The sequence below is a fragment of the Homo sapiens genome, chromosome 3, assembly GCF_000001405.40.
Source record: "Homo sapiens chromosome 3, GRCh38.p14 Primary Assembly".
Classification (NCBI taxonomy): Eukaryota; Metazoa; Chordata; class Mammalia; order Primates; family Hominidae; genus Homo; species Homo sapiens.
Genome location: NC_000003.12, coordinates 177,187,790 through 177,203,258, shown reverse-complemented (window position 1 = coordinate 177,203,258; position 15,469 = coordinate 177,187,790). Strand labels below are relative to the sequence as shown.

Here is a 15,469-nt window from a genome sequence, read left to right as displayed (position 1 = left end):
TAAAACAGACCAATCAGCTCTCTATAAAATGGACCAATCAGCAGGCTATGGGTGGGGCCAGATGAGGGAATAAAAGTAGGCTGCCGGAGCCAGCAGTGGCAACCTGTTTGGGTCCCCTTCCATACTGTGGAAGCTTTGTTCTTTAGCTCTTTGCAGTAAATCTTGCTGCTGCTCACTGTTTGGGTCTGCACTACCTTTATGAGCTGTAACACTCACCACGAAGGTCTGCAGCTTCACTTCTGAGGCCAAGGAGACCACGAACCCACCAGAAGGAAAAAACTCCAAACATGTCTGAACATCAGAAGGAACAAACTCTGGACACACCACCTTTAAGAACCGTAACACTCACCGTGAGGGTCCACGACTTCATTCTTGAAGTCAGCGGGACCAAGAACCCACCAATTTTGGACACAAATACCACTGCACTAGAGTCTGGGTGACAAAAAGACTCTGCCTAAAACACAATACAATAAAATAACATATATACCCATTATCCCACTTTATTTTATTTAAGCTTGGTTGTCTTTTACCTACCTTCCTAGAAGCTAGGTGTGGTCATAAGACCAAGCACTGGTTAATGGAATATTAGAGGAAGTGATAAATGCAACTGCCAGGATGTGTCCTGAAAGGAAAGGCCTAGCCCTCTATTTCTTCTGTTTTCTTTTCCAATGGCTGGAATTTGAAAATGATGGCAGGAGCAAGAAAAACCATTTTAGACCAGTGGATGGAAGATATATGTTGAGATAGAACAATCTAGGTCTTTGACATCTTACTCCAGAATGACAGTCACATAAGATAATACGCTTTCATCTTGTTTAAGCCATTTTTATATTCCTTTTTTTTTTTTTAACAGTGGTCAAACAATAGCCTAATACAGACATATTTTTTGAAAGTCTGTGTGTACTCCCAACCCTCACCCAACGTGGGATGTAAGCCCTGTGAAGAGTAGGGGCTGTTTTTGGTTTACTGAGACAGTGCCTGGCACACTAAACATTCAATAAACATTGAATGAATAGCAAAACCATCAATATAATACTAGGCCTTGAGTGCTTCCCTGAGAAAGTATGTGGCTGGTCAGTATAAGTAAGTGATTGTACAGCAACATGCTGTGTGTGTGGTTGGTTTTCTGTTTTGACTGAATCACAATCGCAGGATACAACCTGCTATTTTCATTATCTGAGAGGCATAAATACTTGTAAGATAGTTGTATGTTTCTTTTGCAATTTAAATGAAGACTCTCAAGTAAAGTTTATTGTTGTAATGAAATTGGGTCATAGAAGCATGGAAAACTGTGACAAGGTTCACACTGATGAGGAAAGGTCACAAGCAACACGCTATGCACTGAAGGAGAAAAGCAGCTTGTGTACTGACATCTTGAGATGTGTGGTTGGCATGTGCCTCATCTCGGAAGAACCACAAAGAATTGCACAAGGTAAGTCAAAATGAAACGGAAACATCACAGAGTATCAGCAAGACGCCTGGGGGTAAACGCTACAGACGTAAAGCCACTGAATTCCAGGGTGAGTAAAGAATATAAAATGAGTTATAGCACTAGGAGAATATTTTTGGTATCAAATGTCTTTTTTATACAATTAAGTTTGTTTTGAATACTTTATGTAGATGAGCTAATGTAAACAATTTAAAACATCATGATGATTTAAAAATATATATAGTAATGAGACCCTGTAGTCCTGGGATTGAAGCAGTTTCAATTTAAAATGTTCCATGTCTTTAGCGATGAAAGTTGCAAATGTGTAGGCTATCTTGCCATGCCACACTCCTCTCGGAAAAATATTACTGAAATAAAACAAGTCAGGATTTGTTTTTTTTTTTTTTTTTTTTTTGAGATGTAATCTCACTCTGTCACCCGCCCAGGCTGGAGTGCAATGGCAAGATCTCGGCTCACTGCAACCTCCCCCTCTCGGTTTCAAGCCATTCTTCTGCCTCAGCCTCCTGAGTAGCTAGGATTACAGGCATGTGCCACCACGCTCAGCTAATTTTTGAATTTTTAGTAGAGACGGGGTTTCACCATGTTGGTCAGGCTGGTCTCGAACTCCCGACCTCGTGATCCGCCCGCCTCGGCCTCCCAAAGTGCTGGGATTACAGGTGTGAGCCACTGCACCCGGCAAAACAAGTCAGGATTTGTTTAGCCATTTTACAATATATAGTAACTTCTGATAACAGTTACTGGTATGAGGTTTCTCTTCATTGAGTAATTAGCTAGAAAATTCAAGAGAGAACTTTTTTTTTTTGAGACGGAGTCTCACTCTGTCGCCTAGGCTGGAGTGCAGTGGCACTATCTCGGCTCACTGCAACCTCCGCCTCCAGGGTTCAAGCGATTCTCCTGCCTCAGCCTCCCAAGTAGCTGCGATTACAGGCACCCGCCACCACGCCCGACTAATATTTTGTATTTTTAGTACAGACGAGGTTTCACCATGTTGGCCAGGCTGGTCTTGAACTCCCGACCTCAAGTGATCTGCCCACCTCAGCCTCCCAAAATGCTAGGATTACAGGCGTGAACCACCACACCCAGCGGAGAACTTAATGTGTTCCTTTGCTTTACAATTTCTTAGTAATACAGTAATATCTCCTTTCTAGAAACACATTAACATTTAATTCAAAGTGTAATGGGAGTGTTAGATTAGGACAAAGTACTGAATATTAGTAACAATAGTTCCTTCTTTGTCCTTTCCTCACCCAGTGAGTCTAATCATTGCTTGTATTTTGGTGCAGCCCTGATCCTTTATGCTGGATATGTTGGGACAGCTAGAGGGCGAGGCGACAATACATATGACCTTTGAGTGATGGTTTATTTCTCTGAGTATTTAACATTGAAGCCACACTGTTGTTTCAGATAGTTTCCAGAATATAAAAATCAAAGGGATCAAAATATGATCTGATTTAAAACCCCCTTTGCTGGAAGAATCAAGGCCTTTCCACATTTGGGTGCCCCTATTTTTGTTTGTTTGTTTAAAAACACTCCAGGCTGCCGGGCACAGTGGCTCACGCCTGTAATCCCAACACTTTGGGAGGCTGAGGCAGGCAGATGACTTGAGGTCGGGAGTTTGAGACGAGCCTGACCAACATGGAGAAACCCCATCTCTACTAAAAATACAAAATTAGCCAGGCGTGGTGGTGCATGCCTGTAATCCCAACTACTCGGGAGGCTGAGACAGGAGAATCGCTTGAACCTGGGAGGCAGAGGTTGCAGTGAGCCGACATTCCGCCATTGCACTCTAGCCTGGGCGACAAGAGCGAAACTCCACCTAAAAAAAAAAAATGTACTCCTGCTCTCTCCTCTCTCTTCAATTAGTATGATCCAACAGTGGTGAGTAAAGTACATTTTACTGCAACGGATTTGTAAGTCCCCAGCCTCGATGATCTTCATATTTAAATGCAGTCATTTACGCACAGAAATGTCTTGTAAACTACAGGGATATAAACAAATGCATGGATTATTATCATTGTGAGGAGGCTCAACTAACACTGAACAACTTTAGGAGGCAGCTTGGTGTAGGGTATAAGAACTTCAGGCTGGAAGACCTGATCCTATGAACCTGAAGGAGGGTGTCTCCTCCCTTGTGGAATAAGGGATAGAAGTCATTTAGGGGAAGGAGAAGGGGTGGGGTGGGCAGCTTTGAATATGACGCTTTAAGAATGGTATGGTTGAGAAGTCCTCACTCACTGAAAGTGGGGTTTGATTTTACAGTCACTGCTGTATGGAGAGGACCCGCCCGTGGTGGCACAATATGAAACTTAAAAAATAATCTAAGCCAATAGATATGTTTCATTGAGTGGCTCCACCGAGATAGTTTACTTACTGAAGACAGGGTATGTTTAGTGATATCTACGTCATTTATCAACTCAAAAAAAAAAAAAGGAAGATACTATATACTCTTTTCAATTCTGAAATAAAGTCTTCTGAAAGGTGTTAGTTCTGAGGTAAACAAGCCTCAGCTTTAGAATCCTATTGAAATGCAAAACTTGCTTTGTGCGGTTTCCCTGTACACTCTGCATAGTGTTTTGGAAACCTGCAGTTATCTAAATTCCCATCGGGTGACATTGTTTAATCCAACATTCCCACTTTCATACATGAAAATAGCTCTAAGGACACACCACTAATATGCTTTGAACTCTCTGGTGGTTGGAAGGGAGTTTCCAATCCCACTCCCTTTCCTCTGATGGTTTTCCTGCTCCCTGCCCCACTAGGTCATTCAGGAAAGGCCTCTGGCAGCTCCCCCAAGCAAGGGCTCAGGGGGGAAAGAGACATTGACCTTGGCCAAGAAAGCACCTGTCTAATTACTGAACTTATTAGGCCACCAGGAGTCCAGACTGGTGCAAGTTACGAGTAGTGTGTGTGTGTGTGTGTGTGTGTGTGTGTGTGTGTGTGTGTCGCAAAACTTCAGGTTTCTGATATTGAGAGGAAATGATGGTTGCTTTAAAGTGATCACTACATCTATTTTCAAATATTCTGATGAAAGTAGGAAAACAGAACCCTTCACCTTTAAGAAAGCTGCAAACATTATTTTGCTTTGAAGGCAGTAATAAGCGAAATAACAAAAAGGTTTCAAGTCGTATCTTAATGTAAAAGGGTGGCTGCTTCTCCAGTCCTGAGCTTATACAAAGCTCTAAAAAGCACCCTACCCCATCTTTCTGAAAGTCTTAGAAAGATTACCACCCCATTTGCTTTAAAACCTGTGAGGTGCCTCCCTTCTTTAAAAACAACCCTCCCTCAACCATACTGCCACATTATCACTCATCTAAGTTATACTTTATAAACCGCCTTGCTGTGCTTCACACATGCAAAAAGTACACAAAGTGGATAAACTTCTACTGTGGATGCCACTGTGCAGGTATATATTTAGTAAACATTTAGTTACATTATTTTATTTTTGTGAAATAAGAACTGATCGAGCAAACCTTTCAAACAGACCCACCAGATGATAAATACCACCATATGCTTGATTCACAGTACATTTGGGCATAAATACTTCAATTACAGCTTTGTGTTTAGTATCAAAAACCTTTTCTTGTGTGCGTGTTTTCTCTCCAGATCCCGTGCTCTGGATCACATTTTGAAAGTCGCTTATTACAGATAAAGCACCTTTCCAGGTACGCTTCGGAGAACCATATGTATTTACGCACACAAAGGTGTTCACAGAGATTTTCACAAACAAATGTCCATATGATGCCGCGCCGCACTCCCCCACATGCCCGCCGCGTGTGCGCCCAGCCCCCAACGCCGCCGGGCCGCCCCCCGGACACGCGGGAGCCCGCGGCGTCCTTGGGGAAACTTCGCCGGCGGCTCCACCCCGGCCACCGCGCGGGCCTCCCCGCCCCCACCCGTCTCGGGCCCAGCGGCCCACACCCGAGCACACCCAGGCCGGCCCGCGGCGGTGGGGGCGGGGCGGGCGGCCCGGGGCCCCGAGGCGCCTTCGAGTGCCCGCGGGGCTCGCCTGATTTTTAAAAGAATGCGCCGCACAGCCCAGCCCCCAGTGCCGCCAGAGCGGGCCGGGAAGGAGAGGAGCGCGGCCGCTGGAGCCCCCCCGCCGCGCCGCCGCCGCCTCCCGGCGTCCGCGGCGCCCCTCCCCCGCCGGCCCCTCCCCCGCGCGCCCGCCCGCCCGCTCGCCCGCCCGCCCGGCGCAGGCCGCTCGGGTTTGTTTTGCTGCGCGGCCGCCGCCGCCGCCGCCGCCGCGGGCCTCGCGAGCTCATTTGTGCCTGGCTGGTCCCCATTCCTCTCTCCCCAGTGTTGAGTGTCTGAGCCGTTGGCTGCTCCGAACCGTTTGGCTCTTTCCCTTAGTAACAGCTTTTACCTTCTGCCTCAATTCCTCTCCCCGCTCGCGCCCTTCCCCCGCGCGCCGCCTCCCCCCGCCGCCGGCCGCGTGCGCCCCCGCCCCTCCCCCCGCGGCGGGAGCACCTCCGCTCGCCACCTGGGGACCCGCGCCGCGCTCCCCGCCCCCGCCCGCCCGGCGCCCATCCCCCGCGCCCTCCGCTCGCTGGGGTTATAATTGCCTCTCACCCCCCGGAGGGGTTATTTTGGGGGTGGTTGGAGGCGGTGGCGGCGGCGGCGAGGAGGGGAATTTCCTTGTGCCTCCATTCCCGGGAGGGGGGAGCGGCGTTGGAGGCCACCGTTTCCAGGTAAGCGCTGGGGGCCGGACCCTGGAGTGGGGGCGGCCGGGGGCCTGGGCGGGGGGCGCGGGCCAGAGGCGGCCGGGGGCGCTGGGCCGCGGGGGGATGGGCGCGAGTGGAACATGCATTTTTCAACTTGGCCCTTGGGGGAACTGGGCTTGCGTGGGGGAAGGGAAGGCAGGGAGGGCACTTGGGGCGCCCCCATCCCCCCGTTTTCCTCTCTCAGGTTTCTTTGAAATGCTCACGTGCCTGCCCACCCCCCTACCCTTTCCCGGTCTCGGGGGATCCTCACCCTAATTATGTTGTCCCCGAAAATGTGCACCTCGGCCTTCTCCCCCTCTTCCTCCCTTCGTGCATTTACACCCCCTTTTTGTGCGTGTGTGTTTGGGGGGGGAGGCTTTCAGGAAAGGATTTGCAGCAAATTGAATCAAGGAGCCATCATGAGGCCGACTCCTTTATAGCCTATTTTTAGCAGAGGAGAAGGAGCTTTTCGGTGCATGCTATTTTGTGAAACCTCGGGCGGCAATGGAAATCTCCCCTCCCCGGGCGCGTCCCCGGCCCGGGCGCGGCGACCCCGGCCGGCGTGCTGGGGGCTGCGGGCGGCTGTTGGGGCCGCGCGTCCGGGGCGGGGGCGCCGGCCGGGGGAGGGGCGCGCGGCAGCCGGGCCTTGCTCCGGGACGTGTTTATTTGTAACTTAGTGCTTTTTATCGTCTTAAGGAGGTATTTGGTGGAGGCTCTTTGAAGTTGGGTTCAGGAGTGTAGAATTGGCAAAGTTATTGCCAGCTTCCTGGTAAGTTTTGGGTGGCACAGAGTCACGTTATTTTCTGACAGTGTAAAGGCCACGTTGTGAGGGTGGTTTCTCGGTAACTTCCTCTTTGCAACCGATTTAATTTTTTGAACAGAAGCAGACTTTTATTTAAGTGGAATATTAATCTTAAATGGCAGCTCGAGGGAAGCCATGCATGTGTTAACGTGTTCAGTATTTTTGGAAGTTCTTAATTTGCTGAAACAGGCATCACTTCGCAGTGGCAACCGGGATTAAATTTAGGTTGTGAAAATGGTGTATTTCATGTAAAATTTGGGTTGTGGCTTTTAAAAAATGCTCTCTTTGTTAGGTTATCTAAGTGTCTCTAAGATAATTTGGTGATTACAAATGAGAAATGTTGGAAACTAGTTAAAAATTAGGTGTTCTCAGTGTCTGGAGTTTACTTGAAATCTTGGACTGTGCAGGCACCAGGGGTGAAGAGTTTTAGTACCTATGTGATTTACAGTTGACTTAGGAAAGTTTACTATTCACTTTCTTGTTTTCCAAACAGGAACCGTATGCTGATCTAAACAAGCTTGTTAATAAAATGTGGGGGGTGAAAATGCCAGGTTATTTTTAGTTTGAATTTTAAGACTGAATGGTTGCTCTACCCCCCACCTCATATAATTAAGTGATCTTCCCCCTCCGTTTTTCCTAAAGGCTTCTTCACCAGTTTGGATAATAAGGCCCTCGTGGTGTGTTCATCTACTTACCTGAAATAACTTGGAATAAATAATTTCGATTACACGTTGAAGATACAATGAGTGACTGTTTGGGTTTTCCAGTGTGATTCATTTTCATTTTTGTTAAAATAAGACCCATGCTACATTGATGTATTTTAGTAATGCCGACTTCCTGGGATTGTATGTTCTCACCATTTTAATAGTTTATAGTCTGGGGAAGTAGGGCACCTTTGTCTCCCCGAAAACATGGTGTGGGTTGGGTGGTATCATGGGAGTTGATGGCAAGCTTCCCAAATAGTTGAGAGTTCTAGAAATAGTTAGCATTTACCTGTGGGGGAGGGGCTGCAGGAAGAAAGTATGCCTGAGAGCAGTTAGGCGTGTGATGTGTGATTAGGCTTCTTGCTCTTAAATCCAGGTTTTCTTGTTTGGAATATGATTTTTTTTTTCAACCCTATCCTGCACTGAGATGTATGTAATCGCAATCATTAAATTCATAAATAACTACTATTTTTTTTGACGTTTGAGTTGTTGGAATCCGACCTACAGGACAAAATACTAAACTGTATGGGGGACGAAAACTACGTGCCTGGGAAAAGTTTTTCTTATTGCTAAGGAACTTAATAAAGTGACATGTTAATGGCATAAAAATTGTTGCAAAGCTCACCGTCAGTTTATGACATTTTTCTTTTAACGTATACCAGCTTTGGGTATTAATGTGGGAGACACTGGTGGTAAATGGAGTGACCCCTTGCAGAGATGATATTTTTGCATTGGTTGCTTCAAAGAAGTGTTAAGCATTTTAATACGTATGTCTAAGAATCTTTTTGATATTTGTATTCTCGACACCTAATTAAAGGTTTTGCATGATTACCATGACACCAGTCTCCCGAAAGAATTAGAGGTAACTGCTTCCTGTGTTCTAGGAGCCTTTCAAGCTAACAGAAGGTAATATAAATATAAGGGGTACTGATAAAAGGAAATGTATTAATAGACCTTTTGAACATCAACTTGTTGATTAAATCTATCAGTGCAGTATATATACAACCTTGTCAGACGAGTAGCTGACAAAGGAATCTCCCTAGTACAACTTGTAGCAGTACTATTATAAAGAATTCCTGACTTGACACATTTTGATGAAGTTGGTTGAAATAATTTGTTGGGTTTGTTCAATTTTTGGTGTCATTTATATAAAAAGAATAAAGAAGAATGTGAATGGTAGGAAGTCAGGGGAGAGGCATGGCAGAAACATTGGTATTCACTAGAACTTGTATTTTTCTAGTGCATGTGAATTGGACTCATTTCACAAATAACATTTACAGTATAAGTCACTGAAATGCAAAAAAGGAAAGCAGCTAACACGAGACATTTATACTTTATGCTCAGACATTCTGGTAGTAGAGGAGGGCTAGGACCCTAGAGCTGTGTAGTAAAGAATTGTTGAGTATCGTTCAGTTTAGGTACCACGAAGGTGGTATCTCCTGCTCTGCCACCAATAGAAACTTGAAGTTAAAAAGAAAAGACTCTGAGAGCGCTGATGCTGGAGAGATTTGGCTGTTTACCCCTCTGGGATTGGATTCGGTAAGAGTGCAATTAATTGCCCTGTAACCATAGAGCCAGAGGAGAGGGACTAGGTGCTCCGGGCTATGCTCTAGGAGGTGTGAGGTGCTTTCTATGCTGTTTATACCCTAGGCTAATCCTATGAGGTAGATAGTGTTGGGCTTTTTTTGTGGATGATGAAACAGAGATGCAAAGAAGTTAATTCCCTTGTTCAAGGCCACAAAATTATTAAATGAACACTAGGATTCAAACCTGGGTCTGTCTTAGATGACTGAATCTGCGGAATTTTCCCAGCTGTTTTGTTAGTCTTGATCCGTGTAGATCATCCTTCCAAAAACTTGTGTTTCTAATCAAGTTTATGATCTATAGTTGAGCGTCTGTACTAAATGGGTCGAGTGATTACATGGGTAAATGAAATTGATAGAACTCATATCATTGTGCTGAATTCCCTAGCACCATTTAATAAGATGCAGTCTTGCTGGGTGCAGTGGCTCACGCCTGTAATCCAAGCACTTTGGAAGGCCAAGGCGGGCGGATCACGAGGTCAAGAGATTGAGACCATCTTGGCCAGCATGGTGAATCCCCGTCTCTACTAAAAATACACAAATTAGCTGGGCGTGGTGGCGGGTACCTGTAGTCCCAGCTACTCGGGAGGCTGAGGTGGGAGAATCGCTTGAACCCAGGAGGTGGAGGTTGCAGTGAGCCAAGATCGCGCCATTGCACTCCAGCCTGGGCGATAGAGGGAGACACCCTCTCAAAAACAAACAAACAAAAAATTTGTGTAAGAAAAATCATTGAAGTCTTTGTGTTGTAGCATAGTGGTTAAAGTGAGTTCAAACTCAGGCTCTATCCTTTACTAGCTGTGATGTTGGGGTAGTAGCTCCTCATACGTTTTATTTATTTTTTAAAATTTTATTTTATTTTATTTTTTTGAGACGGAGTTTCGCTCTGTTGCCCAGGCTGGAGTGCAGTGGCGCGATCTCGGCTCACTGCAACCTCCGCCTCCTGGGTTCAAGTGATTCTCCTGCCTCAGCCTCCCAAGTAGCTGGGATTACAGGTGCTTGCCACCACTCCCGGCTAATTTTTGTGTTTTTAGTAGAGATGGGGTTTCAGCATGTTGGCCAGGCTGGTCTCGAACTCCTGACCTCAGGTAACGTGCCTGCCTCGGCCTCCCAAAGGGCTGGGATTATAGGCATGAGCCACATTGCGCCTGGCCCTAATGTGTTTGTTTCTTCATCAGTGTAAGGGGACAGTCAACTTTCATAGAGTTAAGAAGATCCAGTTAGTGTGTGAGAGGTACTTAGAACAATGGTTGACATTCTAAGCATCCTGTAAGTGTAAGTTGCTCCTGATAGGTTTGATTTTTGAAGTTTGTTTCTTTGTATTACATTTTATTTGCTTGTTATTTATTTTAGTAGGGGCATAATGTCATAGGAAGGATTTGATAGCTCCATTTCCTAAGTAACCCATTTGAAGTAAACTTAGCTTGGTTTTTTTTACTCTTAAAAAGTTGTGGTTTAAGGCTTACATATACTATGAATAATTTACATGATTGGTGTAGGTACGGTGGTGGATCTTTTTTGCATGCCTTTGTTGCTATTCTGTCATCTGGGTTGGACTTCTTAAGCCTACTTGCACCATTTGAAACATTTTTCAACTTACTTTCTTTCTTTTTTTTTTTTTTTTGAGATAAAGTCTCACTTTGTTTGTTGCCCAGGTTGGAGTGCAGGTTGGAGTGCAATGGCGCGATCTCCTCTTACTGCAACCTCGCGCCTCCTGGGTTCAAGCGATTCTCCTGCCTCAGCCTCCTAGCTGGGATTATAGGCATGCGCCACCACGCCCAGCTAATTTTTGTATTTTTAGTAGAGACGGGGTTTCACCATGTGGTCTCCATCTCTTGACCTTGTGATCTGCCCGCTTTGGCCTCCCAAAGTGCTGGGATTACAGGCGTGAGCCACCGCGCCCAGCTTCAACTCTTTTTTTTTTTTTTTTGAGACAGAGTCTTGCTCTGTCACCCATGCTGGAGTGCAATGGTGCGATCTCGGCTCACTGCAACCTCTGCCTCCCGGGTTCAAGCGATTCCCCTACCTCAGCCTCCCAAGTAGCTGGGATTACAGGCGCCTGTCACTTGCCTGGCTAATTTCTTGTATCTTTAGTAGAGATGGGGTTTCACCATGTTGGTCAGGCTGGTCTCGAACTCCTGACCGCCCGTCTCGGCCTCCCAAAGTGCTGGGATTACAGGCATGAGCCACCGTGCCAGGCAAACTCTTTAAATACAAAGGGAACTCTTTCAAGGTTTGGGTCCAGCAGAACCTAGGGTCTGCCTTTTAGGCTGTAGTGATTACTTTGGGTAGGTGGTTTTATTTTATTTTTCCTGACCACTTTTTATCTGTGTATTCTTTTCCGTATTATCAGATGCTGTCTAGATAGTTGTCCTTAGAAGTTCAGTTCCTCTATGAGCCTTATCTTATGTTCACTTCCCATTTTTAACCATACTTAATTTAGCACTAGTGTTCACTTTGCTAATAGTCAAAAGTTCTATGTATCAGGACTATACAGGTGCTTTGACAAGTACTGTGACAGTCTGAGTGCTGATGCCTGAATTTAACAGTGAGAAAATTGAGGCTCAGGTAGTAGGGGACAGAGCAGGAATTTAGGCCCAGTTTGTGTGAATTCTAGGCCAGTGTTGTTACCTAGCAGTCTGTCTTCTCAATGAATGAATGGTTGTAGGTCTGGATTATTAAGTTTTTATTTGGTTGCCCTGAGCAACCTTTCTTATTCATTTTATCTTCTGTAACTACTGACAGTGTAATTTATTTAAAGTACTGGTTTCATCTTGTCAGTTCCCCTGCTGGAGAACCCATAATGGATTCTCTTTGCCAACTGGATTGAATTTGTATGCTTCAGTCTGGCTTTTAAGAAGGTTCCATTCTACCTATTCAGCTTTATTTCTCACTCTTAGTTGGGATTCTTGCCGGCCTCTCAAATACGGTAGTTTTTGCCATACTCACTACTTTGCTTTTGTGCATGCTGTTGTTCCCTTTGTCCTTCTTATAGCCTAGTTTCAGTCCCCCTTCTTCCATGAATCCTTTTCTGGCCATCCTGACTCAGGATATTTCTTCTCTGAGATTCCATTGCACTTAATGAAGATCACAAATCCCATAACTGTTTATTGTTTTGTTGCCCCAACTACGATGTTTCTTGAACGGATGGACCTTTTTCCTTCCAGCATTTGGCAGAGTTCTTAATACCATTTTCATGTTAAAATGGATTGTGAGGGCCTGTGTTAAAATGGGAGCAGTGACAGCCCTGTTCCACTGTAATGTGGCAGCATCTTCTTTTTGAGTTAGACCTTAAAGATTTAGGTGTGCTATAGTCACATTTAACTGTTCATTTAAATTTTAGTGCTGCCAGAGTTGCAAAGGAAGAAAAATTTGTTAGTTTCTTAGATGAAAATGGATGGTTTTGACTGGGTACGGTGGCCCACGCCTGTAATCTCTGCACTTTGGGAGGCCCAGGCAGGGGGATCACCTGAGGTCAGGAGTTTGAGACCAGCCTGGCTAACATGATAAAATGTTTAGCTCTACTAAAAATACAAAAAATTAGCTGGGAGTGGTGGCACACGCCTATAATCCTAGCTACTCAGGAGGCTGAGGCAGGAGAATAGCTTCAACCCGGGAGGCGGAGGCTGCAGTGAACTGAGATTGCGCCACTGCACTCCAGCCTGGTCAACAAGAGCATCAACTCCGTCACATACACAAAAAAAGAAAATGGATGGTTTTGCCCTTTTAATTCTGGAATAGTAGCCACAGTACTGGGGGAAAACCTAGTCTAGTTAGGAATTGTGTCACAGTAAGTTGACTTTATCTGGTTATATATGTGTCAGGTAGTTAGGTATAATGATGCTTAAGATTTTGGACTCTTTTTTTTTTTTTTTTTTTTTTTTTTTTTGAGATGGAGTTTCACTCTTGTTGCCCGGGCTGGAGTGCAATGGCACATGCTTGGCTCACTGAAACCTCCGTCTCCTGGGTTCAAGCGATTTTCCTGCTTCAGCCTCCCCAGTAGCTGGGATTACAGGTGTCCGCTTACACGCCCAGCTAGAACTTTATTTTCTTAATCTGTTAGGTTTTTTCTTCATTATTTCCTTAGTAGTGTACCTAAGTTAAGATAGTGTTTTTAGATCTCACTGTTTTACAGCATTCTGACTGCACTGGAGTTTCATTTGAGCCATTACTATTAATTTATTAACATTCAGTATAGGATATATGTATTATACAATGTAAGTGAGTTTTATCTACCAGAAGAATGTCTCTTAACCATCTCCCTTCAGTAAATTTTTATGGTAAGACTGTGCTGTATTAGTTCCAGCCAACCAGGGTAATTGACTATAAAGGCAACTAATTTGGTGTTACATCCTTCTTTTTTTTTTTTTTTTGAGATGGAGTCTTGCTCTGTCTCCCAGACTGGCTGGATGTGATCTCCGCTCACTGCAACCTCCGCCCCCTGGGTTCAAGCGATTCTCCTGCCTTAGCCTCCCAAGTAGCTGGGATTACAGGTGCTGGCCACCACGCCTGGCTAATTTTTTTGTAATTTTAGTAGAGATGGGGTTTCACCATGTTGGCTAGGCTGGTCTTGAACTCTTGACTTCAGGTGATCCACCCACCTTGGCCTCCCAAATTGCTGGGACTAACAGGCGTGTACCACCACGCCCAGCTAATTTTTGTATTTTTAGTAGAGATGGGATATCACCTTGTTGGCCAGGCTGGTCTTGAACCTCTGGGCCTTGTTATCTGCCCACCTCGGCTTCCCAGAGTGCTGGGATTATAGGCGTGAGCCACCACACCTGGCCTGAAATTGTTATTTCTTATTTTTATTTTGAGACAAAGACTCATTCTGTTGCCTAAGCTGGAGTGCAGTGGCATGATCTTGGCTCACTGCAATCTCCACCTCCTGGGTTCAAGCGATTCTACTGCCTCAGCCTCCTGAGTAGCTGGGACTACAGGAACGTGCCACCATGCCCGGCTAATTTTTTTGTATTTTTAGTAGAGATAGGGTTTCGTTATGTTGGCCAGGCTGGTCTTGAACCCCTGACCTCGTGATCCACCCGCCTCGGCCTCCCCAAGTGCTGGGATTACAGGCGTGAGCCACCGCACCCGCCCAAAATTTTTAATATTTATGTATAGAATGTAAGCTTTTCAGCATGATTTTGAATCAAACAAAATGAGTTAGATTGAAAGCTCTGCTTTCTGAGAGCTTAGATTTGTAACTCAGAATTAGTGTGGACTGTAAGGATCATGCTGAAAGGTTAATACATTTTGGTAAACATAGAGTACCCAGATTCAGGAGATTTATGTGAAATGAATAGGTTTGAGGGATGAGGGAGGAGGAATACCTGTTGAACATTTAAACTGTGAAGTTTGCCACCTATTTTCCCCTTTATTGAAGGTTTCAGGAGGTAGAATTTAAAAAAACAAAACTCTGGGCTGCAAGGGTCAGAGATGGTCATTACGGTATCTTAATAGAGTAATTTCTTTTTTTTGACGGAGGTTTGCTCTTGTTGCCCAGGCTGGAGTGCAATGGCGCAATTTTGGCTCACTGCACCCTCCACCTCCCAGGTTCAAGCAGTTCTCCTGCCTCAGCCTTCTGAGTAGCTGGGATTACAGGCATGTGCCACCACACCTACCTAATTTTGTATTTTTAGTAGAGATGGAGTTTCGCCATGTTGGCCAGGCTGGTTTGAACCTCTGACCTCAGGTGATCTGCCCACCTTGGCCTCCCAAAGTGCTGGTGGGATTACAGGTGTGAGCCACTGTGCCTGGACAGTAATTCTTTTTTATATGAAATTGTATTCTCTGGGCCGGGCACGGTGGCTGATGCCTGTAATCCCAGCACTTTGGGAGGCCGAGGTGGGTGGATCACGAGGTCAGGAGTTCGAGACCAGCCTGACCAACATGGTAAAACCCCGTCTCTACTAAAAATACAGAAATTAGCCGGGTGTGGTGGCATGTGCCTGTAATCCCAGCTACCTGTTAGCCTGAACCTGGGAGGTGGAGGTTGCCATGAGCTGAGATCGTGCCACTGTATTCCTGCCTGGGCAATAGAGCGAGACTCCATCTCAAAAAAAAAAAAAAAAAAAAAAAAGGAAATTGTACTCTGGACTCTCAAGCTTTTTTTTTTTTCTTTTTAAATGTTTAAAAATTTTAATTACCTTAAAATGGTGGATTTTTTTTTAACTTTTTAATAAACTAGGTGTCAGTCTATTTGATATCTTCGGTATTTTGTCTGAGATCGGATG

General features: G+C 45.2%; 1 protein-coding gene across 14 annotated transcripts in view, besides 8 other annotated features; it reads left to right on the top strand.

Annotated features, from left to right (window-relative positions):
• The window catches only part of TBL1XR1 (TBL1X/Y related 1), a 182,457-nt gene continuing 168,446 nt past the window's right edge, over positions 1,459-15,469 (top strand). For 8 of the 14 annotated variants that reach the window (NM_001374327.1, XM_011513142.3, NM_001374330.1 and 5 more), the window contains exon 1: positions 5,777-6,138. The gene's annotated coding sequence lies outside the window, so the exon portion shown is untranslated. Of the gene's footprint in view, positions 1,521-5,776; positions 6,139-6,780; positions 6,920-15,469 lie in introns of those variants that run through there. The other 6 variants (NM_001321195.3, NM_001321193.3, NM_001374328.1 and 3 more) reach the window with 2 other exon arrangements.
• Positions 5,183-5,690: an enhancer, noted in NCBI's record as "H3K27ac hESC enhancer chr3:176915357-176915864 (GRCh37/hg19 assembly coordinates)". NCBI's record gives its function as "activates a minimal SCP1, AML or CMV promoter by ChIP-STARR-seq in naive H9 embryonic stem cells {active_cell/tissue: H9 hESC(naive)}" and the evidence as "EXISTENCE:reporter gene assay evidence [ECO:0000049][PMID:30033119]".
• Positions 5,186-5,565: a silencer, noted in NCBI's record as "silent region_14905". NCBI's record gives its function as "represses an Ori minimal core promoter by ATAC-STARR-seq in GM12878 lymphoblastoid cells {active_cell/tissue: GM12878}" and the evidence as "EXISTENCE:reporter gene assay evidence [ECO:0000049][PMID:35858748]".
• Positions 5,691-6,200: an enhancer, noted in NCBI's record as "NANOG-H3K27ac-H3K4me1 hESC enhancer chr3:176914847-176915356 (GRCh37/hg19 assembly coordinates)". NCBI's record gives its function as "activates a minimal SCP1, AML or CMV promoter by ChIP-STARR-seq in naive H9 embryonic stem cells {active_cell/tissue: H9 hESC(naive)}" and the evidence as "EXISTENCE:reporter gene assay evidence [ECO:0000049][PMID:30033119]".
• Positions 5,691-6,205: a biological region, named in NCBI's record as "NANOG-H3K27ac-H3K4me1 hESC enhancer GRCh37_chr3:176914847-176915356".
• Positions 5,806-5,995: a silencer, noted in NCBI's record as "silent region_14904". NCBI's record gives its function as "represses an Ori minimal core promoter by ATAC-STARR-seq in GM12878 lymphoblastoid cells {active_cell/tissue: GM12878}" and the evidence as "EXISTENCE:reporter gene assay evidence [ECO:0000049][PMID:35858748]".
• Positions 6,106-6,205: a silencer, noted in NCBI's record as "silent region_14903". NCBI's record gives its function as "represses an Ori minimal core promoter by ATAC-STARR-seq in GM12878 lymphoblastoid cells {active_cell/tissue: GM12878}" and the evidence as "EXISTENCE:reporter gene assay evidence [ECO:0000049][PMID:35858748]".
• Positions 6,686-6,735: a silencer, noted in NCBI's record as "silent region_14902". NCBI's record gives its function as "represses an Ori minimal core promoter by ATAC-STARR-seq in GM12878 lymphoblastoid cells {active_cell/tissue: GM12878}" and the evidence as "EXISTENCE:reporter gene assay evidence [ECO:0000049][PMID:35858748]".
• Positions 8,969-9,559: an enhancer, noted in NCBI's record as "NANOG-H3K27ac hESC enhancer chr3:176911488-176912078 (GRCh37/hg19 assembly coordinates)". NCBI's record gives its function as "activates a minimal SCP1, AML or CMV promoter by ChIP-STARR-seq in primed H9 embryonic stem cells {active_cell/tissue: H9 hESC(primed)}" and the evidence as "EXISTENCE:reporter gene assay evidence [ECO:0000049][PMID:30033119]".